The sequence below is a fragment of the Homo sapiens genome, chromosome 6 (genome assembly GCF_000001405.40).
Source record: "Homo sapiens chromosome 6, GRCh38.p14 Primary Assembly".
NCBI lineage: Eukaryota > Metazoa > Chordata > Mammalia > Primates > Hominidae > Homo > Homo sapiens.
Window position 1 is genome coordinate 31,262,696 of NC_000006.12, and position 22,967 is coordinate 31,285,662.

At 45.1% G+C, this 22,967-nt stretch overlaps 1 protein-coding gene and 2 pseudogenes across 1 annotated transcript, besides 9 other annotated features; 2 read left to right on the forward strand and 1 right to left on the reverse strand.

Annotated features, from left to right (window-relative positions):
* Positions 3,792-4,735: an enhancer, noted in NCBI's record as "OCT4 hESC enhancer chr6:31234264-31235207 (GRCh37/hg19 assembly coordinates)". NCBI's record gives its function as "activates a minimal SCP1, AML or CMV promoter by ChIP-STARR-seq in primed H9 embryonic stem cells {active_cell/tissue: H9 hESC(primed)}" and the evidence as "EXISTENCE:reporter gene assay evidence [ECO:0000049][PMID:30033119]".
* Positions 4,871-5,430: an enhancer, noted in NCBI's record as "OCT4 hESC enhancer chr6:31235343-31235902 (GRCh37/hg19 assembly coordinates)". NCBI's record gives its function as "activates a minimal SCP1, AML or CMV promoter by ChIP-STARR-seq in primed H9 embryonic stem cells {active_cell/tissue: H9 hESC(primed)}" and the evidence as "EXISTENCE:reporter gene assay evidence [ECO:0000049][PMID:30033119]".
* Positions 5,549-6,050: an enhancer, noted in NCBI's record as "OCT4 hESC enhancer chr6:31236021-31236522 (GRCh37/hg19 assembly coordinates)". NCBI's record gives its function as "activates a minimal SCP1, AML or CMV promoter by ChIP-STARR-seq in primed H9 embryonic stem cells {active_cell/tissue: H9 hESC(primed)}" and the evidence as "EXISTENCE:reporter gene assay evidence [ECO:0000049][PMID:30033119]".
* On the reverse strand, positions 6,054-9,397 carry HLA-C (major histocompatibility complex, class I, C). Its single transcript, NM_002117.6, has 8 exons — positions 9,304-9,397; positions 8,904-9,173; positions 8,378-8,653; positions 7,515-7,790; positions 7,271-7,390; positions 6,798-6,830; positions 6,643-6,690; positions 6,054-6,478 (listed from the first exon to the last, which is right to left on the reverse strand). The coding sequence occupies exons 1-8, from the start codon at positions 9,374-9,376 to the stop codon at positions 6,474-6,476; spliced, it is 1,101 nt and encodes a 366-aa protein (NP_002108.4). The 5' UTR covers positions 9,377-9,397; the 3' UTR covers positions 6,054-6,473.
* Positions 6,836-7,337: an enhancer, noted in NCBI's record as "OCT4 hESC enhancer chr6:31237308-31237809 (GRCh37/hg19 assembly coordinates)". NCBI's record gives its function as "activates a minimal SCP1, AML or CMV promoter by ChIP-STARR-seq in primed H9 embryonic stem cells {active_cell/tissue: H9 hESC(primed)}" and the evidence as "EXISTENCE:reporter gene assay evidence [ECO:0000049][PMID:30033119]".
* Positions 12,877-16,729, forward strand: USP8P1 (USP8 pseudogene 1; annotated as a pseudogene).
* Positions 16,239-16,740: an enhancer, noted in NCBI's record as "OCT4 hESC enhancer chr6:31246711-31247212 (GRCh37/hg19 assembly coordinates)". NCBI's record gives its function as "activates a minimal SCP1, AML or CMV promoter by ChIP-STARR-seq in primed H9 embryonic stem cells {active_cell/tissue: H9 hESC(primed)}" and the evidence as "EXISTENCE:reporter gene assay evidence [ECO:0000049][PMID:30033119]".
* Positions 16,815-17,700: an enhancer, noted in NCBI's record as "OCT4 hESC enhancer chr6:31247287-31248172 (GRCh37/hg19 assembly coordinates)". NCBI's record gives its function as "activates a minimal SCP1, AML or CMV promoter by ChIP-STARR-seq in primed H9 embryonic stem cells {active_cell/tissue: H9 hESC(primed)}" and the evidence as "EXISTENCE:reporter gene assay evidence [ECO:0000049][PMID:30033119]".
* Positions 17,596-18,876, forward strand: RPL3P2 (ribosomal protein L3 pseudogene 2; annotated as a pseudogene).
* Positions 17,701-18,584: an enhancer, noted in NCBI's record as "OCT4 hESC enhancer chr6:31248173-31249056 (GRCh37/hg19 assembly coordinates)". NCBI's record gives its function as "activates a minimal SCP1, AML or CMV promoter by ChIP-STARR-seq in naive and primed H9 embryonic stem cells {active_cell/tissue: H9 hESC(naive and primed)}" and the evidence as "EXISTENCE:reporter gene assay evidence [ECO:0000049][PMID:30033119]".
* Positions 20,064-20,565: an enhancer, noted in NCBI's record as "OCT4 hESC enhancer chr6:31250536-31251037 (GRCh37/hg19 assembly coordinates)". NCBI's record gives its function as "activates a minimal SCP1, AML or CMV promoter by ChIP-STARR-seq in primed H9 embryonic stem cells {active_cell/tissue: H9 hESC(primed)}" and the evidence as "EXISTENCE:reporter gene assay evidence [ECO:0000049][PMID:30033119]".
* Positions 20,746-21,669: an enhancer, noted in NCBI's record as "OCT4 hESC enhancer chr6:31251218-31252141 (GRCh37/hg19 assembly coordinates)". NCBI's record gives its function as "activates a minimal SCP1, AML or CMV promoter by ChIP-STARR-seq in primed H9 embryonic stem cells {active_cell/tissue: H9 hESC(primed)}" and the evidence as "EXISTENCE:reporter gene assay evidence [ECO:0000049][PMID:30033119]".

Sequence of the window (22,967 nt, forward strand, 5' to 3'; positions counted from 1 at the left end):
GCCTGCTCTTTCTCCTGTAAATATTGAAGTCCTCAAAACCCTCTTAGTAAAAAGCATGGGCCACAGATGCTACAATAATTTGTGTCTCTGTTTCCAAGGTACATCTTCAGCTTGGCAAAATAAACTTCTAAACTGATTGATACCTGTCTCAGATGTTTTTTGGTTTACATGGCTATAGGAACTTCCTGAGTTCTTTGAGTTAGTTTAAGAATTCCCAAACCTTGGGAGGTGAGAAACCCCTGACTTTGCAGCCATGATAGACAGAAGTGCAGGTAACCTGGAACCCAATAACTTGTGACTTGCATCTGAAGTGAGGACAGACTTGTGGGACTGAGTCCTTAAACCTGTGGAGTCTGAGGCTAACTCCAGGTAGTTAGTGTCAGAATTGAGTCAAATTCTAGGACTCCCAGTTGCTGTTGGAGAATCAGAAAATTATTTGGCTGGAGGAAAACCCCATCACCATCCCACAGAGAGAAACTTACAGTATATTGGGGGAACCCACCCCCAATATTTCAACGTAGGTTCTTTCTATTTTCCATAAGTGTCAGCCAGCTGAGAAATAAAGAAAGACAGTACAAAGAGAGGAATTTTACAGTTGGGCCACCAGGGGTGACATCACATATCAGTAGGACTGTGATGTCCGCTTGAGTCTCAGACAAACAAGTTTTTGTTAAGGGTTTCAAAAGGGGAGGGGGTGTAAGAACAAGGAGTAGGTAAAAAATCACACGCTTCTGAGTGCAAAAAGCAGAACTACTAATAGGGGTCTAACAAAGATCACATGCTTCTGAGGGAACAAGACAAAGGGCAAAAGCAGAACCACTGATAAGGGTCTATGTTTAGCAGTGCACGTATTGTCTTGGTAAACATCTTAAACAACAGAAAACAGGGTTTGAGAGCAGAGAAGTGGTCTGACCACAAGTTTACCAGGGCAGAGTTTTTCCCCACCCTAGTAAGCCTGAGGGTTCTGCAAGAGACCAGGGCATATCTCAGTCCTTATCTCAACTGCATAAGACAGACATTCCCAGAGCAGCCGTTTATAGACCTCCCCCAGGAATGAATTCTTTCCCCAGTGTATTAATATTAATATTCCTTGCTAGGAAAAAAATTTAGTGATATCTCTCCTACTTGCACGTCTGTTTATAGGCTCTGGGCAAGAAGAAAAAATATGGCTCTTTTTGCCCAACCTCGCAGGCAGTCAGACCTTATGGTTGTCTTTCCTTGTTCCATAAAAATTGCTGTTATTCTCTTCTTTTTCAAGGTGCACTGATTTCATATTGTTCAAACACACGTTTTACAATCAAATTGTAACACAATTATCACAGTGGTCCTAAGGTGATGTACATCCTCAGCTTATGAAGATAACAGGATTAAGAGATTAAAGTAAAGACAGGCATAAGAAATTATAAAAGTATTATTTGGGAACTGTTAAATGTCCATATTAAAATGAAATCTTCACAATTTATGTTCCTCTGCCGCAGCTCCAGCCAGTCCCTCCGTTCAGGGTCCTTGACTTCCCGCAACAACAGTAAGAGTAAGCAAGTAAACCTCTACCTTCTTCGGTCCCAGAGGAAAAGATAAAAAAAAATTAAGCATTTATTTCATGTCCCTAAGTCTGCTAAACACAGGTTTCTACCAGCTATTCATTGTCCAGACATGGAGTGGCCCTACCTCTAACCTAGAAGTTAGGATTTTTTAGGCCTTTGAGGGGGTCACATAAAAACTAATAAGTGTCAGAGATTCTCTCCCCAGAAATATTTCCACACACAAGAAAATATAAATATTAATATAAAACATCAGTGTGCAACCAGATCCTCTGAGATCTTACAAACCTGGGTGTTTTAATCCTAGTAAGAGACAATGCCAAGCACACAATGCCACTCCAATAATCTGGAGTATGAACTGGGATAGACAAAAACTTGATGTAATAACTTATTTTCAATGGAATGGGTGGAAAGATGTTATTTATTAGTCACTGGTTCATTCAGACACTCTGAATCCCTACCAGATACAAGATAAATTTCTTGTCTTGGAGCACTGCTCCAATAATTAAAATTTATCATTCTTTTCCCACCCTTCACACTCCAGCACTTCAACCCTCTTACTACATCAGAATTCCACACTGTCAATGAAAAGAGGCAAACTTCATAAAATATTTGAAGAGATTTATTCTGAGCCAAATACGAGTGACCACAGCCCATGACACTTCCCTCAGGAGACCCTGAGAACATGTACTCAATGTGGTTGGGGTACAGGTTGGTTTTATACATTTTAGGAAGATATGAGACACTAATAATATGTATTTAAGATATACATTGGATCAGTCCAGAAAAGCAGAACAATTTGAAGCAAGCGGGGGTTGGGGGTTACTGCTTCTAGGTTATAGGTAGATTTTAAAATGTTCTGATTGGCAATTGGTTGAGTTATTATCAATAAAAAGGAACGTCTGGGTTATGATAAGAGGTTGTGGAGTCCAAAATTTTATCATGCAGTTGAAGCCTCCAGGTGCCAGGCTTCAGAGAGAATAGATTATAATGTTTCTGATCAGACTTAAGGTCTGTGTTGATGTTAATTGCTGGTCAGCTTTTCCTGAATTCCAAAAGGGAAGAGGCCATAATGAGGCATGTTCAACACCTGCTTCCCATGGTGGCTTGAGCCAGTCTTTCAAGTTAACTTTTGAGCACCCTGGCTGAGGAGGGTGTCCATTAAGATGGTTGGGAGAGGGTGGGTTTGAAGTTTATTTTTGGTTTACAACATGTAAAATGTTAAGAGGAGATAGAAACCACCCGCATCCCTAGAATAGCACAACACTCCAGTCACCCCTGCAGTTGATAATGGACATGAGTCTTAAACTCCATCAGTCAGATGACCACCTGCTGAAGCGGCATTGTTGTCTCAGGTAAATACTCAGGGTTCATTGTATCTTGCCAAGAAGATTAAGGACAGTGACACACAAGGAGTGAGTTTATTGGCCGGTGCTATGTTGCCTGCTCTTTACTGAACACATGGCTGGCAAAAAGAAGGGAAGATGGAGCCATCATTGTGAACACGTCTAGTCCTAGGTGTCCTTTTCCTATTGGCACAGCTGCCAGCATTCACTCGTGCAAGCTTCCAGCTTGCTTGTCTATGTCTGAAGCTTGATTTTACAGGCTGGTCTTTGTCAGAAAAGAAAATGATTTGGGGCCTGCTTTCCATTAAAAAGAAAACCTTACTGAGACTTCTGTACCCTCACTACCTGCCTAAATAATTTCTTCTTAAATCCTATATCACTGCCAGACTCTGAGCTAGTATGAGGTGACACAGAAAGGCTGGGATTGTGCAGAATGCATTTTAGTAAACATGGCTGAGTGTCAGTAGTGATGTCCAGTTGCCAGGTGCAGCAGTGACATCTATCCTAGCCTTGGGGTCCAGTGTCCAGCACCAGGATGTCAGAGGTGTGAGCAGTGGTGTCTGTGCTCAGCAGCAGGGGCAGTTGTTCCTAGGAGGGACCTGATCCAGGGGCGTGGGCTATGGATTCTGTTCCGGGATGTGTAGTTTTCAGCCTGGTTCTGTGGCCTTCCCCACAATAAAATTAACCCCCAATACCAGATATACTACTTTATGTGTAAATTACAGAAATTTGTTTTCCATAGTTTTCTCCAAGAGGTGAGTGAGAAATGAATCTATGGACCAGGGTCAGAGAGCAGCATTCGGAGGTGTTCCTTGTGTGACAGCCACATCCTGAATTGTCTACCTGGCCTCTACCTCATGGTGGAGAGATCAACAGGGAATATCACATCTCTTAACTGATGATATACATCCTCCCTTTCCTTTCTGCAAGAAAAATCCTCTTTTAAACAGGGTTTGAAAACCCACCCCACCCCACCCACTCACCCACCCTGGGCACTCTCTGATCTCTGAGGTTCCTGATCCGGCTGAGCAACAAGATTTCTGGTGGAGGCTTAGAAAATACTCAGGCCACTCCTCAGAACCCCTGTCTCACAATATTATGCACAAGACCAAGGAATCATTTACATAACAAGCCTTACAGGCGAGGCTGATGCAGACATGTGGGATCCTGGTGTTCTGGCTGCTCCAAGTGTGATCAGGAGACCAGTAACGTGAGCTCCAGCCTTGTCATAAATCCAGAATCTCTTGCTCGACTCCAGACTTCCTGGATCTCAGCACCACATACAGGTGATCCTGGTGCACATGGGGGTTCCTTGTCTGAGTGTCCTCTAGACGTGGGGCCAGAACTGTGCAGTCTGCTCTGTGGTCTGATCAGATCCCTTACAACTGGAGGTCCAGGGTTCAGTCCTTGCACTCATTCTTTTCCATAGTCAATCACTCCCTTGGTGCTTCATCCATGCTTGAGGTTTTAAGTATCCTTTATGTGGTGTGACCTCTTAAATCTATTTCTCCAGCCCAGTCCTTTCCCCTGAACTGTGGAGTTGTCTGCCCAACTGCCACCCCAGCTCCCCCACCTGCATTCCTAGTAGCCATGTCCTCCACTGAGTGCCTGTGATGCCCCCTCCTCAGGACGCTCCTGCCAGAGTCTCCCCATCTCCACTGACAGCAGCTCCACCCTTCCTTCTACTCACTCATTTTACAACTATGGGTGTCCTTGATTCGTCTTTCTCACACCACAGATACAATCCATTGGCAAATGCTGTGAGTCTATCTTCAAATGTATCCAGAATCCCCTCACGTCCCACTATTTCCTGTGCTCACACCCCAGTCAAGGTAACCGACATCTCCAGCCTGGAATACTGCACTCGATTCCTGTTTTCCCTTCTGCCTCCCTCGTCCCTCGCCTCTCAATTCTGTCCTCAGCACAGCCATCAGAGATCCTTTTAAGAAAGAAGTCATATCATGGCCCTCTTCTGCTCAAAACTGTCCTCTAACTCCCCATCCCACTCAGAGCAAAGGTCAGATGCAACCCCACTCCCCTCAAGCCCACCTGTTCTGGCCACACCTCTGACCTCATCTAGTTTCTCTGTCCAGCCCTCCTGGCCTCCTTGCTCTTCTGGGAACACAGACACCTTCCTGCCATTGTGCATTTGGACTGGAGTTTCCTTGCCTAGAAAGAACTTCCCCAGACATCCTCATATCCCTCAAATCTTTCCTGAAAGGTCATCTTTGCAACAAGGCACACATTGACCACTCCTGTCCAACAGCCACCTTCCCTGTCCCCACTGCCCATACCCGGATCACCTGCCTCATGGCACTTACCACCTTCCATCACTTTCTTTTCTTACTCTGGTTATAGTGTATGTATCGTCTGCCTCTTACCACTGGAGCATATGCTCAGATATTTTTCTGATTTTACTTCAATGGCGTTCCCCAGATGCAGAACTTTTCTGTCCTATGTCTGGCTGACAACAAAGGTCAGTTGAATGATCAGTGTAGAGCACCTCCTATTCTAAAGCCAGTATCTTTATTAACATAGCCTCAGGCCAAGTGCTGTTTTGTGGCAGCTGCAGCACAAGGTCCCCTCACACTGACACCGAGGCCGCCTGTACTTTTCTCAGCAGGGCTGCTTGTGTGTCCTCCCTCCCCTATCCCTCCTCCCACACCAACCGCCCTGCACACTGCAGCACACGATCAGGTTTCTCTCTTCAGGAAGGAACAATTCTAGACTATGGACCCAATTTTACAAACAAATACAAATCTAAATTAGGCTCTGCTTTAGATTCATGAGTTGGGATTGGAGTCAGCACGAAGATCACTGGAATCAGGGAAGGGAGAGAGGGCAGGAGACCAAAGCAGAAGAGGAGCCCTAGAAGGAGGGCAGGAGCTGAATGGGTCTGAAAATTTGTCTCAGAAAGCACAGGGACTCCCGTGTGCAGGGGCTGCCCTGGGCGATGGGTGAGCCTCTGTGGTCACAGCTTCCGCTGGACAAGTTTCCACTGAAGGGACAAGGACAATGGAGCAGTGAAGGTGACCCAGCTGAGGACTGACCACATAAAGCCCATGAAGAACTGAACAGCAACTAGGCACAGGCCCCGTCCACACTCGGCTCCTCACAGCCTTCCCCACCCCCACCTGCAACAGACTCAGCACAGCGAACATGCAAATTCTGGAAGGTTCTCAGGTCTTTATTTGCTCTCTCAACTTCTAGGAATTGACTTATTTAATTAATCCATCAACGCTTCATAGCAAATATTTGAGAACACAAATTTATATTCAGGTTCTTAACTTCATTAGGGAAGTAAGAAGTTGCAGCTCAGTGCACCATGAATTTGAGACAGAGATGGAGACATCCAGCCCCACCTCTCTGGAACAGGAAAGATGATCGGGGAGGGAACACAGGTCAGTGTGGGGACAGGGGTCACGGTGGACACGGGGGTGGGCTGTCTCTCCACCTCCTCACATTATGCTAACAGGAACGCAGACACATTCAGGTGCCTTTGCAGAAAGAGATGCCAGAGGCTCTTGAAGTCACAAAGGAGAGGTGTGAAGAAATCCTGCATCTCAGTCCCACACAGGCAGCTGTCTCAGGCTACAGAACACAATAGTCATGAACAAATTCAGGTCAGTCATGGTAAGCGATGACACTCTGAACGGCCCACCACACACTCGAAACGTCCCAATCAAAGAATCCCCATTACCCAGGCCTTTTCCCTCTGCCCCACCCCCGACCACTTCAGCTCCCCAGAATCTCACCTTTACAAGTGATGAGAGACTCATCAGAGCCCTGGGCACTGTTGCTGCCTGGGGTAGAACAAAAAAAAAGACCTGGTCAGAGCCCGCAGGAGATGTGGGACAAGAGGAATTATGGAGTAGGTGAGCTCCTCCACACGCCCGCCGCCATCACTTACACGCAGCCTGAGAGCAGCTCCCTCCTTTTCCACCTGTGGGAAGAAAATGCCCTATGAGGGGACTGGGAGGAGGCAGGGCCATGTGATCTTAGGGGAACCTCCTAGTCTTGGACCCAAGAGAAGTTTCCAGAACTACGACTGCAGACCCAGGGCAGGATCAGGAAACATGGGGAAAGCAGTTGTGGGTTCTGGACCAACTGCCCTCCTAAGGTCTGTCCTTAGCAGGGACCTTCCCCTGACTCATGAATGCTGGAATCAGGACCCCAACACCATAATCATCAAGGTGATACATCCGTCCTTCATTGTCACATGTGCTTCACAAAAGAGTAAGTGCTGGCACACAGGGTCCCAGGCTGGGATGGCCCATGTGTGGATGGTGCTTCCAGTAACAAGGCGGGGCACACTTCTACCTGGGGCTTGAAACTCCCAGTGGGACAAGAAAACCCAGACCCCGCTCTTCACCCCTTCCCTACCTGAGCTCTTCCTCCTACACATCATAGCGGTGACCACAGCTCCAAGGACAGCTAGGACAACCAGGACAGCCAGGCCAGCAACGATGCCCATGATGGGGATGGTGGGCTGGGAAGATGGCTCTGGGAAAGGAGGAGAAGGTGAGGGGCCCTGACCCCCAAGCCTCAGCCCTGACCCGGCTGAAGGGCTCCAGAAGGACTTCTGCTTTCTCTGATAAGAGATGTGACCCCCCATTCCCCTCCTTACCCCAGCTCAGGGTGAGGGGCTCTTGCAGCCCCTCGTGCTGCATATGGCACGTGTATCTCTGCTCTTGTCCAGAAGGCACCACCACAGCTGCCCACTTCTGGAAGGTTCCATCTCCTGCTGGCCTGGTCTCCACAAGCTCGGTGTCCTGGGTCTGGTCCTCCCCATCCCGCTGCCAGGTCAGTGTGATCTCCGCAGGGTAGAAGCCCAGGGCCCAGCACCTCAGGGTGGCCTCATGGTCAGAGAGGGGGTGGTGGGTCACGTGTGTCTTTGGGGGTTCTGACGGGAAGAGTCAGAAAATTCAGACACTTTGCATCTCTCTTGGGACACTCCAGCAGCGCCCATGTGACCATCCTGAGAATGGACAGGACACCTGGGGTGGGGAAGGCGGCAGAGAACCCAGACGCCAGCCTGGACACAGGCACCTGGGATAATCTCCTATTCATTGGAAAGTTCTAGTCTCTGAGGGAGGAACAGCGACTTCTGGTCCTGACCTGAGTGGAGGCTGCAGGACTCAGAAAAGCTGGAATCAAACCTTCAGACACATTGAGTGTGAGGCAGAGAACAAGGCCTGAGAGAAAGGTCAGCAGCCTGACCACAGCTGCTGCAGTGGTCAAAGTGGTCAAAGGAGACCCCTGATCAGTATTCCAGGGACTGTCTTCCCCTCCATTTCCTCAGAGACTTCATCCCTTAATTGTCCTAGAGAGCAGAGGGGGCCCTCAGAGGAAACTCAGGAAAACTCATGCCATTCTCCATTCAAGGGAGGGCGATATTCCAGTGCTGATCCCATTTTCCTCCCCTCCTCGTGGGAGGCCATCCCGGGAGATCTATAGGAGATGGGGAAGGCTCCCCACTGCCCCTGGTACCTGCGCGCTGCAGCGTCTCCTTCCCGTTCTCCAGGTATCTGCGGAGCCACTCCACGCACGTGCCCTCCAGGTAGGCTCTCAGCTGCTCCGCCGCACGGGCCGCCTCCAACTTGCGCTGGGTGATCTGAGCCGCGGTGTCCGCGGCGGTCCAGGAGCGCAGGTCCTCGTTCAGGGCGATGTAATCCTTGCCGTCGTAGGCGGACTGGTCATACCCGCGGAGGAGGCGCCCGTCGGGCCCCAGGTCGCAGCCAGACATCCTCTGGAGGGTGTGAGACCCTGGCCCCGCCCCCGCGGTCAGCCCAGTCCCCCGAGCCCCGCCCCGCCCCGACCAACCCGCGGGGATTTTGGCCTAAACCGAAAATGAAACCGGGTAAAGGCGACTGGGGCTCTCTCCGGTCGAGGGTCTGGGCGGGTTCCGCAGATCCACCTTGGGGTGGATCTCAGACGGGGAGACTCTGGGCGACCCGGGCCGTCCGTGGGGGATGGGGAGGGGTCGTGACCTGCGCCCCGGGCCGGGGTCACTCACCGTCCTCGCTCTGGTTGTAGTAGCCGCGCAGGTTCCGCAGGCTCACTCGGTCAGCCTGTGCCTGGCGCTTGTACTTCTGTGTCTCCCGGTCCCAATACTCCGGCCCCTCCTGCTCCACCCACGGCGCCCGCGGCTCCCCTCTCGGACTCGCGGCGTCGCTGTCGAACCGCACGAACTGCGTGTCGTCCACGTAGCCCACTGAGATGAAGCGGGGCTCTCCGCGGCCGGGCCGGGACACGGCGGTGTCGAAATACCTCATGGAGTGGGAGCCTGGGGGCGAGGAGGGGCTGAGACCCGCCCGACCCACCTCCCTGCGCGGCTCCCCGGGTCCTGCGCCCTCGCCGGGAGGGCCCCTCGCTCCTCTCCGCAGAGGCCGCTTCCCTCCCAACCCCGCACTCACAGGCCCAGGTCTCGGTCAGGGCCAGGCCTCCCGAGAGCAGCAGGAGGAGGGCTCGGGGCGCCATGACCCGCATCTCGGCCTCTGGGGAGAATGTGAGTCCGGGTGGGTGACTGGGGACTTTAGAACCGGGACTGCGGAGACGCTGATTGGCTTCTCTAGAACCCGACACCCAATGGGAGTGGGAATTGGGGACGCGTCATGAGTATTCAGGAAGAAGGACCCGACGCAGGTTGGGAGAAGTGAAACTCAGGGGAGTGGAGAATCCCCAACGCGGCGCCTCCCCAATGCAGACACGGCCCTTGGAGCCTGAGACCCTGAGAGCCCCGCCCGGGACCTGGGACTTCGTCCTGATCCCTCTTCTCCTACACCAAGCATCTTTGTCACACTGTGTGCCTGAGTCCTGGACAAGGATCTGTCTGTGGAAACCAGGGAGAGACCCCAAGGCTGCGCCCAGCCCCTTCCCCTTCACTTCTCCTCCTGGAATCCCCGTCCCTGAACTGGACTCCCTGCCTCCCACCCTTTGCCTTACCTTACCTCACCTCAGGTAATATTAAACTACATCCAGCAAAATAAAGGAAACTTACCTCTCCCCTTGGACTCTTGTACAGGGAAACTCACCATGGGGAACTTGATGCCAGACAGTGAGCTCGCCCTGGGAATGGACGTGTAGAGTCAGGAGTTTTCTCTTTAAACCTGGTGAAGTTTTGTCTGAAAGCACCAGGTAGAGATTCTCATAGAGACCAGTTTCCTTTTTGTTTATTGATACAGTAGGTAGCACAATATTGGTAATCCCTGAATGATTAGAATTCCAATCTGTGAAAGACCTGTGTCAAAACTGCATTACAATTAAATTCTCAAAGCTCCTGTTTTACTTTCGCAGACTATGGTTCTGTGACTCTGGGTTGTTGCATTTAAAGTTATCCTCATTCTCTAGCCAGAGTTTCCCTGTGTGAGTCCAGAACATCTCCTGAATACAAAGAAGCAGGGTTTGTTACTGTCTATTGCAACCGGGAGCCTGTAGTCATCACCTCAAAGTTGCGAGGGCTCCATGCAGTCCCAATGCTCTTCACCAGCGCTCCAGCACTGCCCGTTTTCGTGAACTATGCACATCTAAGCAGTGTGCATATTTTATTTGGACACTTGATATTTTTGTAACCCCTTTTTAAAAAAAAATCATAAGGAGCCCATTAGTTTTAAGGCAGTCACACAAAATGTATTAAATACCGAATGCAAAGAACCCCCTGCCAGGCTCTTCTACTGCTTTAGAATTCTTTCCTCTGCTCCTTTTCCTCACCTCCTGCTTCTCCAGCCCTTCTCTCTGCCCCTCTCATCCCTCACACCCTCTTTCCCCTTTAGTCCCCGCCACCCTGTCACTCCTGAATTGTGGCACTAACACTGTCCCTCACCTCCTGCCCATGTCTGTTCTCCCCACAGTGCTCAGCAGTCCTGCTAATGTGACTCAGGTCGTGTCATTTCTTCACTTATAATGGTTGGGTTTTGGTCTACCATTTTGCTATACGTTTTCAATTTGTCTCATATCTTTTTGTTTCTGTTCCTCCTTTGCTACTTTCTTATGTGTCAAGTAAACATTTTTCAGCTTATGGTTTTAATTCTCCTAGTGGCTTTTAGCTATATTTCTTTACATTAATTTTTTATTGTTGTAAGAATTGAAACCCAATTCCTTGACTTTTCACAGTGAAATTCAGGTAATATTAAGCTGCATCCAGCAAAATAAAGGACACTTCAAATGGTGTAGTTTCACTTAAACTATCATTATGCTATTATTATTGTATATGTTACATCAATATACGTTATAAACTCAACGATACAGTGTAATACTTTTTGTTTTAGACAAGCAGTCACATATCTTCAGGAAATTAAGAAAATGGGTGTGTATGTGATATGTGTATGTGCATCATTTCTGTTGTTAATTGTTCCTTTCTGTATATCTGGGTCACCATCTAGTATCATTTCCCTTCAGCCTGAAGAACGTCCTTTAAAATTACATGTAGTACAGGACCCCTAGGAAATGAATTTTATGGGTTTGATGATCTAACAATGCTTTTATTTTTGCCTTCTTTCCTCCCCCCCCGCCTTTTTTTTTTTTTTTTTTTTTTTTTTTTTTTTTTTTTTTGCTTATTAGGGCGTTTACGTGTAAAAAAATTCACCAGTTTTAGCTGCACTTTTTGGTGGATATTGGTAATTATTTATAGTGTAACTACCACACTGCCCAGTAGAGAAACACCAAATGCAAAGATCCTCCTACTAGGCCCCTCCACTGCTTTAGAGTCCTTTCCCCTGCTCCTTGTCCTCACCTCCTGCTTCCCCAGCCCTTCTCTCTGCCCCTTATCCCTCAGACCTTCTTCTCCCCTTACCTCCCCCTCCCAGTCACTCCTGAGTTGTGGCGCTGTAGAGAACAGTTTCTTTTCCCTAAAAACTTTCTTTATCCCCCTTTCTATTTAATCCTTGCCTCCCACCCTCACCCCCTTCCCTTCACTCAACCACTGCTGTGCTTTCTGTCACTGCAATAGTGACATTTCTAGAATTTCATGGACATGCAATCATATGTTATGTAGTCTTTTGTTTGGTCTCTCCCTTAGCATAACGATGTTTGAGATGATGCCATTCATTCATTTTTGTTGCTGAGCAGCTGCCGAGTATTGCTGGAATCCCAGTTTATTCATTGGTTTCTGTGTCTCCAGTTGATAGACATGTGGATTCCTCCAGTTAGGGCTTGTTATTAATGAAGCCACTATAAATAACTGCTTACAAGTGTGGACTTACGTTTTTATTTCTTTTGGATAAATACGTATTTGTGGAATTGCTGGGCCATGTGGTAATAGATGGGTAACTGTATAAGAAATTGCCATACCACTTTACAAATTGGCTGCCACATTTCTTGCATTCCTACCAGCAATAGCAGACATTCCTATTTTTTCCATATTCTTGCCAGTGTTAAGACTTATCATATGTCTTTTTAACTTTACCTGCTCTAGGTGATGTGTGATGGTTTCTCATTGTGGTTTTAACTTGCACTTCTTAGATGACTAGTATTGTTTGCTATCTTTTCATGTTCATCTAAGTGACTTATTACATATATTTTACGAACTATTTTGCAAATTCAATGATTAATTCCAGAGACTTTTTCAGAATTCCCTAGTGTTTTCTACATATACAATGAAGCTGGTGACAAAGAAAGACTTTCATTTCTTCCTTTCTTATCCATTGATCTGTTTTCTTTTAAAATTATTATTATTTGGTAGAGATGAGGTCTCACTTATCAGGCTGGTCTCAAACTCCTGATCTCAAGTGATCCTCCCACCTCAGCCTCCCAAAATGCAGGGATTACAGGCATGAGCCACCATGCCTGGTCCTTGTTGCACTGGTTAGGATGGCTGTTAGGTGTTTAAACAAGAATGATAAGAGCTCACATGTTTGTTTACAAGGAACTTAAACAAATTTACAAGAAAAAAACCCATCCCCATCAAAAAGTGGGCAAAGGATATAAACAGACACTTCTCAGAGGAAGACATTTACGTGGCCAAGAAACATATGAAAAAAAGCTCACACACGTATATGAAACGTGACTGTTTATAATCCTATCCAAAAAAGACCTGATTTCAAGCAACAGCAGGATTGCTTCCGTTCAATACTTGGACCTGCAAACATCAAAAAAGCCACTGGAGAAACTGAACGACTCTCTGAAAGCCTTAAACTAAGATATGAAGAAGTTGAAATCTGGAAAAAACTTGAGGAAAAGGACAGGCAGGGGGAAGCACAGTGGCTACAACAAAAAAGGCAGGAAACAGGAAGAGAGGATGGCAGCACGTTGGCTAAAGGTTCTTTGGAGATTGTATTGGATTCCAAAGACAAAACCCAAAAGAGCAATGGTGAAAAGAATGAAAAATGTGAGACCAAAGAGAAAGGAGCAATCACAGCAAAGGAACTATACACAATGATGATGGATAAAAACATCAGCTTGATTATAATGGATGCTCAAAGAATGCAGGATTATCAGGATTCCTGTATTTTACATTCTCTCAGTGTTCCTGAAGAAGCCATCAGTCCAGGAGTCACTGCTAGCTGGATTGAAGCACACCTCCCAGATGATTCTATAGACACATGGAAGAAGAGGGGGAATGTGGAGTATATGGTACTTCTTGACTGGTTTAGTTCTGCAAAAGATTTACAGATTAGAACAACTCTCTGGCATCTGAAAGATGCACTTTTCAAGTGGGAAAGTAAGACTGTCCTGTGCAATGGGCCTTGGGCTTTGGTTTTAGAGGGAGGCTGTAAAAACTGGTTCCTTTGCTATTCCCAGTATACAACAAATGCTAAGGTCACTCCACCCCCACAACACCAGAATGAAGAGTTGTCTATCTCATTGGATTTTACTTATCCCTCACTGGAAGAATCAATTCCTTCTAAACCTGCTGCCCAGATGCCACCTCCACATATAGAAGTGGATGAAAATATAGAATTGATCAGTGATCAAATAAGTGATAATGATCAAAATGAGAGGACGGGACCACTGAATATATCAATTCCAGTTGAACCAGTTGCTGCTTCTAAATCTGATGTTTCACCCATCATTCAGCCAGTGCCTAGCATAAAGAATGTTCCACAGATTGATCATACTAAAAAACTGGCAGTCAAATTGCCTGAAGAGCATATAATCAAATCTGAAAGTACAAATCATGAGCAACAGTCTCCTCAGAATGAAAAAGTTATTCCTGATTGTTCCGCCAAGCCAGTAGTTTCCTCTCCAACTCTCATGTTAACAGATGAAGAAAAGGCTCATATTCATGCAGAAACTGCTCTTCTAATGGAGAAAAACAAATAAGAAAAAGAACTTCAGGAAAGACAGCAAGGGAAACAAAAAGAAACTGAGGAGGGAAGAACACGAGCAAAAAGCCAAAAAGAAACAAGAAGCTGAAGAAAATGAAATTACACAGAAGCAACAAAAAGCAAAAGAAGAAATGGAGAAGAAAGAACGTGAACAGGCCAAGAAAGAGGATAAAGAAATCTCAGCAAAGAAGGGCAAAGAAATAACAAGAGTAAAAAGACAAAGTAAAAGTGATCATGAAACCTCTGGTGCCGAGAAGTCTGTAGAGGACAGGGGGAGAAGATGTTCAACCCCAGAAGTACAGAAAAAGTCAACAAGAGATGTGTCCCATACATCTGTGACAGGGGATTCAGGTTCAGGCAAGCCTTTTAAGATTAAAGGACAACCAGAAACTGGAATTCTAAGGACAGAAACTTTTAGAGAGGATACAGATGATACTGAAAGAAATAAAACTCAACGAGAACCTTCGATAATAGCACGAAGTGAAGAAATGGGGAGGATGGTACCAGGACTGCCTTCAGGCTGGGCCAAGTTTCTTGATCCAATCACTGGAACGTTTCATTATTATCATTCACCACTAACACTGTTCATATGTACCCACTGGAAATGGCTCCTTCATCTGCACCTCCTTCCACCCCTCCAACTCATAAAGGCAAGCCACAGATTCCTGCTAAGCAGGATAGGGAACCTTCCAAACTGAAATGCTCTTACTCCTCCCCAGATATAACCCAGGCTATTAAAGAGGAAGAGAAGAGGAAGCCAGCAGTAACTCCAACAGTTAATCAGGAAGACAAGCCAACATGCTACCCTAAAGCTGAGATCTCAAGGCTTTCTGCTTCTCAGATTTGGAAACTCAGTCCTGTTTTCAGAGGTTCTGGACCAGCTCTTACTGGACTTCGTAACTTAGGAAATACTTGTTATATGAACTCAATATTGCAGTGCCTATGTAATGCTCCACATTTGGCTGATTATTTCAACCGAAACTGTTATCAGGATGACATTAACAAGTCAAATTTGTTAGGGGCATAAAGGTGAAGTGGCAGAAGAATTTGGTATAATCATGAAAGCCCCGTGGACAGGACAGTATAGATATATCAGTCCAAAAGACCTTAAAATCACCATTGGGAAGATCAATTACCAGTTTGCAGGATACAGTCAAGATTCACAAGAATTTCTTCTGTTCCTAATGGATGGTCTCCATGAAGATCTAAATAAAACTGATAATCGGAAGACATATAAAGAAGAAAATAATGATCATCTCAATGACTTTAAAGCTGCAGAACATGCCTGGCAGAAACACAAGCGGCTCTATGAGTCTATTATTGTTGCACTTTTTCAGGGTCAATTCAAATCTACAGTACAGTGCCTCACCCGTCACAAAAAGTCTAGGACACTTGAGGCCTTCATGTATTTGTCTCTACTGATAGCATCCACAAGTAAATGTACATTATAGGATTGCCTTAGATTATTTTCTAAAGAAGAAAAACTCATAGATAATAACAGATTTTACTGCAATCTTTGCAGAGCTCGACGGGATTCTTAAAAAAGAAATCTGGAAGTTACCACCTGTGCTTTTAGTGCATCTGAAACATTTTTCCTACAATGGCAGGTGGAAACAAAAATTACAGACATCTGTGGACTTCCCGTTAGAAAATCTTGCCTTGTCACAGTATGTTATTGGTCCAAAGAACAATTTGAAGAAATATAATTTGTTTTCTGTTTCAGATCACTGCGGTGGGCTGGATGGAGGCCATTACACAGCCTACTGTAAAAATGCAGCAAAACAGCGGTGGTTTAAGTTTGATGATCATGAAGTTTCTGATATCTCTGTTTCTTCTGTGAAATCTTCAGCAGCTTATATCCTCTTTTATACTTCTTTGGGACCATGAGTAACTGATGTAGGCACATAAGGAGACATAGGTTATAAACTAGTTATCTTTTAAAAGGCTCAGCAACACAATTCTTGAAATGCTTATCAAGATAATGGTAGCAATAGCTGGCCATTTAGAGGAATTCTAGGACAGTGGGAGCTGTGTTACTAGCACTATATAATTCCTGTCAGTGGTGACAAATAACACTTAGCAAGTATTGCAGTAAGCATCACTTACAGGTACCATTTATTTCAAAACAACTTTTTTAGTCTGCTCCAAAGTTAAAATAATTAACTAGCTAAGCATTATTATTCTACTGGTCTAAAAACCATTGTACCCTTTTTTTCCTTTTCACTGTTACAGCCTTTTCACATTTCTAAATCCCATCTTCATATACTATGAATACTCTAGAATGATGTGAAGCAGATAGGAATGTATGTGTACATATTTATTGCATACTTACACATCAAATCGATATACATAGTTTAACATGTGGTCCTTTCGTGAAACTTAGAACTCAGAGGATTGCATTTTTTTCTTTGAGCATATTTTGAGTAACTGCAGTGCTTTCTTATGGAAATGACAGGGCAAAGCTATTTTTCTGTTGGCTTTGGGGGCATTTGGGTGCACTAAATCTTTATCTTAAAAAATAAATGAAAACTTCCTTTAATTTTTTGAAATGAGACATTAAAATCTTAATGAGAAAAATTAAAAAAGCTCAATATCACTGCTCATTAGAGAAATGTAAATCAAAGCCACAATGAGATACCATCTCCCGCCAGTCAGAATGGTAATTATTAAAAAGTCAAGAAACAATAGATGCTGGTGAGGCTGTGGAGAAATAGGAACACTTTTACACTGTTGTTGGGAATGTAAACTAGTTCAACCATTGTGGAAGACAGTGTGGCCATTCCTCAGAGACCTAGAACCAGAAATACTATTTGACCCCTTGGGTATCTACCCAAAGGAATATAAATCATTCTACTATAAAGACACATGCACACGTATGTTTACTGCAGCACTATTTACAATAGCAAAGACTTGGAACCAACCCAAATGTCCATCAGTGATAGATGGATAAAGAAAATGTGGTGCATACCACCATGGAATAGTACACAGCCAGAAAAAGGAATGAGTTCATGTCCTTTGCAGGGACATGGATGAAGCTGGAAGTCATCATCCTCAGCAAACTAACACGGGAACAGAAAACAAAGCACCTCATGTTCTCATTCCTAAGTGAGAGTTGAACAATGACAACACATGGATACAGGGAGGGGAACAACACATATCAGGGCCTTTTGGGGAGTGTGGGGGGCAAGGGACGGGAACTTAGAGGATGGGTCAATAGGTGCAGCAAACCACCATGGCAGACTATACGTATGTAACAAACCTGCAGGTTCTGCACATGTATCCTGGAACCTAAAGTAAAATAAAACAAAGCAAATTAAAAAAAGAAAGCCCATGTCTTACATGTATGCATATGTTCATTGCAGCACTATTCACAATAGCAAAGACATGGAATCAACCTAAATGTCCATCAATGGTAGACTGGATAAAGAAAATGTGGCAAATATGCTCTACCGGCAGGATTTGATGGCGTGATGTCTCACAGAAAGTTCTCCACTCCCAGACATGGGTCCCTCGGCTTCCTGCCTTGGAAGCGCAGCAGCAGGCATCGTGGGAAGGTGAAGAGCTTCCCTAAGGATGACCCGTCCAAGCCGGTCCACCTCACAGCCTTCCTGGGATACAAGGCTGGCATGACCCACATCGTGCGGGAAGTCGACAGGCCAGGATCCAAGGTGAACAAGAAGGAGGTGGTGGAGGCTGTGACCATTGTGGAGAGGCCACCAGTGGGCATTGTGGGCTGCGTGGAAACCCCTCAAGGCTTCCGGACTTGCAAGACTGTCTTCGCTGAGCACATCAGTGATGAATGCAAGAGACATTTCTATAAGAACTGGCATAAATCTAAGAAGAAGGCCTTTACCAAGTACTGCAAGAAATGGCAGGATGAGGATGGCAAGAAGCAGCTGGAGAAGGACTTCAGCAGCATGAAGAAGTACTGCCAAGTCATCTGCGTCATTGCCCACACCCAGATGCAACTGCTTCCTCTGTGCCAGAAGAAGGCCCACCTGATGGAGATCCAGGTGAATGGAGGCACTGTGGCTGAGAAGCTGGACTGGGCTGGTGAGAGGCTCAAGCACCAGGTACCTGTGAACCAAGTGTTTGGGCAGGATGAGATGATCGACGTCATCAGGGTGACCAAGGGCAAAGGCTACAAAAGGGTCACCAGTCGTTGGCACACCAAGAAGCTGCCCCGCAAGACCCACCAAGGCCTGTGCAAGGTGGCCTGTATTGGGGCATGGCATCCTGCTCGTGTGGGCTTCTCTGTGGTACGTGGTGGGCAGAAAGGCTACCATCACCGCACTGAGATCAACAAGAAGATCTATAGGATTGGCTAGGGCTACCTTATCAAGGATGGCAAGCTGATCAAGAACAATGCCTCCACTGACTATGACCTGTCTGACAAGAGCATCAACCCTTTGGGTGGCTTCGTCCACTATGGTGAAGTGACCAATGACTTTGTCATGCTGAAAGGCTGTGTGGTGGGAACCAAGAAGTGGGTGCTCACCCTCCGCAAGACCTTGCTGGTGCAGACAAAGCAGCGGGCTCTGGAGAAGATTGACCTTAAGTTCATTGACACCCACTCCAAGTTTGGCCATGGCCGCTTCCAGACCATGGAGGAGAAGAAAGCATTCATGGGACCACTCAAGAAAGACCGAATTGCAAAGGAAGAAGGAGCTTAATGCTGGGAACAGATATTGCAACTGGTGGGATCTCAATAAAAGTTATTTTCCATTAAAAAAAAAAGAAAAAGAAAATGTGGCACATATACACCACAGAATACTATGCAGCCATAAAAAAGAATGAGATCATGTCCTTTGCAGGAACATGGATGGAGTTGGAGGCCATTATCCTTAGCAAACTAAGGCAGGAACAGAAAACCAATTACCACATGTTCTCACTTATAAGTAGGAGTTATATGATGAGAACACATGGACACGCAGAAGGGAACAACACACACTGGGGTCCACTTGAGGGTGGAGGGTGGGAGGAGGGAGAGGATCAGGAAAAATAGCTAATGGGTACTAAGGCTTAATACTTGGGTGGGTACTAATGGGTACAGAAATAATCTGTACAATAAAACCGCATGACACAAGTTTACCTATATAACAAACCTGTACATGTACTCCTTAACTAAAAATAAAAGTTAAATTAAAAAAAAAAGAAACAAAGAAACTGCATATCTGGAAAGAGCATATGGTTGGGTTCTGTGTTTTGTTTTTTTTTTTTAACCAATTCACACAATCTCTGCCCTTCATTGGAGTGTTGATTCATATAGGTTTTTTTTTCATTATTGATAAGTTTTAGGTCTACCATGTTATTTCCTCAGTTTTGGTTTCTCTGTTCCTCTTGTCCTGACCAACGACTTCTTATTAGAAACCATAGAAACAAAAGAAAGTAGAATAACACCTTTAAAGTGCTGGAAGAAAAAAAGGACAACTAAGAATTCTATATCCAGCACAGATGTCCTTCAAGGACAGGCAAAATAAGGAGATGTTTCAGGTAAAAGAAAATTAAGAGAATTTGTCACCAGCAGATCTGCACAATAACAATTGGTAAAGAAAATTCTTCAGGCTAAAGGCAAATGATACCAGGTGGGAAATGAGGTTATCAGAAAAGATGAAGATGATCAAAAATGGTAAATACTGAGCTAAGTGCAAAAGGCTATCTTGTTCCCCTCATTTACTCTAATTTATATACATAGAACTGTTTAAAGATAAGAAGAAGTTTTTTTCTTGTGGGACTTATAACCTATATAGATATATTACATATAATATCTGTACCATAAAGATGGACATTTTATAGAGGATAAATGGTTGCAAGATTTCTCTATTTATGGGTACTAGTACATTTTTAACTGAAAGTGGACTGTGAAATGTTAAGAAGAGTTAAATTCTGAAGGAAATTGAGACACAAAAACCATTCAAAAGATTAACAAATCTCATGATGGTTTTTTGAAAAAAACAAAACAAAACAAAATAAAAACTAAACAAAAATAAAACCCTAGCCAGTCTTGAGTCTCATCATTCTACGATTTCAGAACTATTGTGAATACAAAAGTAATCAAAGAACAGTCCTGCCCAGAAAGAGGAGTTATCCCTAAATATGGTGTCCCTGGAACAGGTGGCTCTCCCTGCTGGACCTCTTCCACGTGGGTGCTTTCTGCAGTGACTTTGTTGCCTTGCTATTCCACTTTACCCAGTGTCCTCACCCAAGAGACAAGGGGTGTCTGCTGCTGTATCCACACTTGGAGAAAGAAACCTTGATAGTGTCAGTACATTACAAGCTGGGCATGACAGCTCACGCCTGTAATCCCAGCAATTCAGGATGCTAAGGCAAGAGGATTGCTTGAGATCAGGAATTGGAGACCAGCTTGGACAACATAGTGGGACCCTCGTCTCTAAAAAAAATAAAAATCAGTAAACGGCTGGGCCTGGTGGTGGGCGCTTGTATTTCCAGGTATTGTGGAGGCTGAGGTGGGAAGATCCCTTGAGCTCATAAATACAAGGCTGCATTGAGCTACGATCCCACCACTGGGCTCCAGCCCAGGCCAGAGTGAGGTCTTGACTCAAAAAAATACATTGTAAGCCTTTGCTCACTATGGGTTATTTATTATTTATTCAATGTGTATTTTGATTTTATTTTACTGGCAGCACAATAAACCAGGACATGCTGAAACTAGAAATCACATCCACTTTCCAGTGTTAAAAAGCCCAGTCTAGGGAGGTGAGAAGGAGACAGTCCTCATTAGCGTTGAGGATTCAGGGAGATCGAGATGGGCTGGGCAGGAAGGTTCTTACTTGGAACCTGGAGGATGAGCAATGACATTCCTCTCTCCACCTTAAAGCTCATCCTGGGCATCTGCCTCCTGGGAGCAGGAGCACTGCAAGCTCCGCCTCCCGGGTTCACGCCATTCTGGCTCAGCCTCCCGAGTAGCTGGGACAACAGGTGCCCACCACCACGCCCGGCTAATGTTTTGTATTTTTTAGTAGAGACGGGGTTTCACCATGTTAGCCAGGATGGTCTCAATCTCCTGACCTCGTGATCTGCCCACCTCGACCTCCCAAAGTCCTGGGATTACAGGCGTGAGCCACCGCACCCGGCCTCTCCTTGGGATTTCTTTACTGGACACCAGCCTGAGTCAACTTTCCTGTAAAGCAAAAGAAGCGTGAGGTTGCTAAAGGAGGAATGGTGTGATCTCCACCTTTGGCGAGATCCCTGTCACCGTGTTCAGGCGAAGGGCCAGGCCTTACTCCCCATGCAGAGAGGAGGCTATGGCCATGAAGACGCCTGTGGAGAAGTGAGGACCCGCTCCCTCTACACTGATGGCCAAGAGCCTACAGATGGCGGAGAAGGCTTCCCTTCAGCTGTGTCCTATCAGGTTCTTCCAGGAGTCAAGGAGTAGACCTGCATGTTACCTCTGGTGATGTAAGCTGCATGCACACCTAGAAGTGAGGTCACCCCTGCTGGGGGTCCTGGGGCTGCTGGTTGTTCTGGGTGCTCAGTGTCCAGAAAAGAAGATGGGGAGGAGGCTTTGTGCAAAACAGTAACCATACTCTATAAATTATTTTTTCATTAGCCTTTGTGTCATAAAATAAAATATAGGACTCCAAAAGAAAAAAATGTCTAAAATTTGTGTCCTTTAATACAAAGTAAACACCCATTAATCACCAGGGATAGATGTTTGTGGGGCAAACCAGAAGCCCCATCATTTGCTCCAGCCCAGCAATAAACTCTTTCTTCCCTCAAATAAAAACACAACCTGACTTTTACGATCATCAATTCTTTGTTTTATTTTTATTTTTATCATCCAATATTATGATTTAGTTTTACCTTTAGAAATATGCTTTTGTTTTCTTTATTCTATAGATTCTTCCTTGAAATTTATATTGTGTGGTAGAGCTTCCCATAGTGTGCATTTTGCTGATTGCTCCCCAAGGCATAGTTTAATATGTATTTCTATTATCTGTATTGCCTCTAAATTGGTAATTGGCTATGGAGATCAGCTTCTATTCAGGCTTGGTTTCTTTTTCACTTGGACTTGTTTGATGGTGCTGTATTGTGTTCTTCCATCAAGAGGAAGAACCTCACATTAGTTTTTTCTTTTATTGTGTTGTTAATTGCCATTGCTATTCAATGGCTAAATCTGTTAATTCATGATGGGTTGCAAAAGAGTTATTATAGTCTCAGTCTCTCATTCCTTCTTCATTTATTATCTGAATAATTTCTAAGTAAGAGATTCACCCTCCTCTACTGTTTGTTTACTACTAGAAACTTGGTTTTTGAGAGACTAAGCCAATCATCTACTCACCTATGATCCAGCAATAGCACTCTTAGTTCTAAACCAATAGAAATGCATGTATGTGTGTGCCAAACTATATGAAAATATTATTCATAGCAGCACGATTTGTAAAATCTGTATACAACAAAATTGTCTATCAACAGTGAAAGGACAAGAAATGTGAGTTATTTATAAAGTGGAGCATTGGACAGCCATGGGAGTGAATAGGCTACGACCACACACAGCGAGATGATGAGACCCAGGGTCATGATGGTGACTGTATAATGCCATTCAACTAGACCTGGCAGAACTCATCTGTATTAGAAATCAAGAGTGGCTACTCTAGGGTGGGGAGGGTGGTTTATGACTGAGTAGGACCCAAAGATGCCAGCAAAGTAGGCCTCTACATTAAAAAAAAAAAGAGAGAGAAAAATTAAACAGAGAAATTTAAAAGTTTATAAATAATGTTTACTTGTATTCAAGAAAATTATAGCGACAGCCGCCAGATAATGATCAGCTCTAAAAAGAGAAGCTCAAGAAGCTC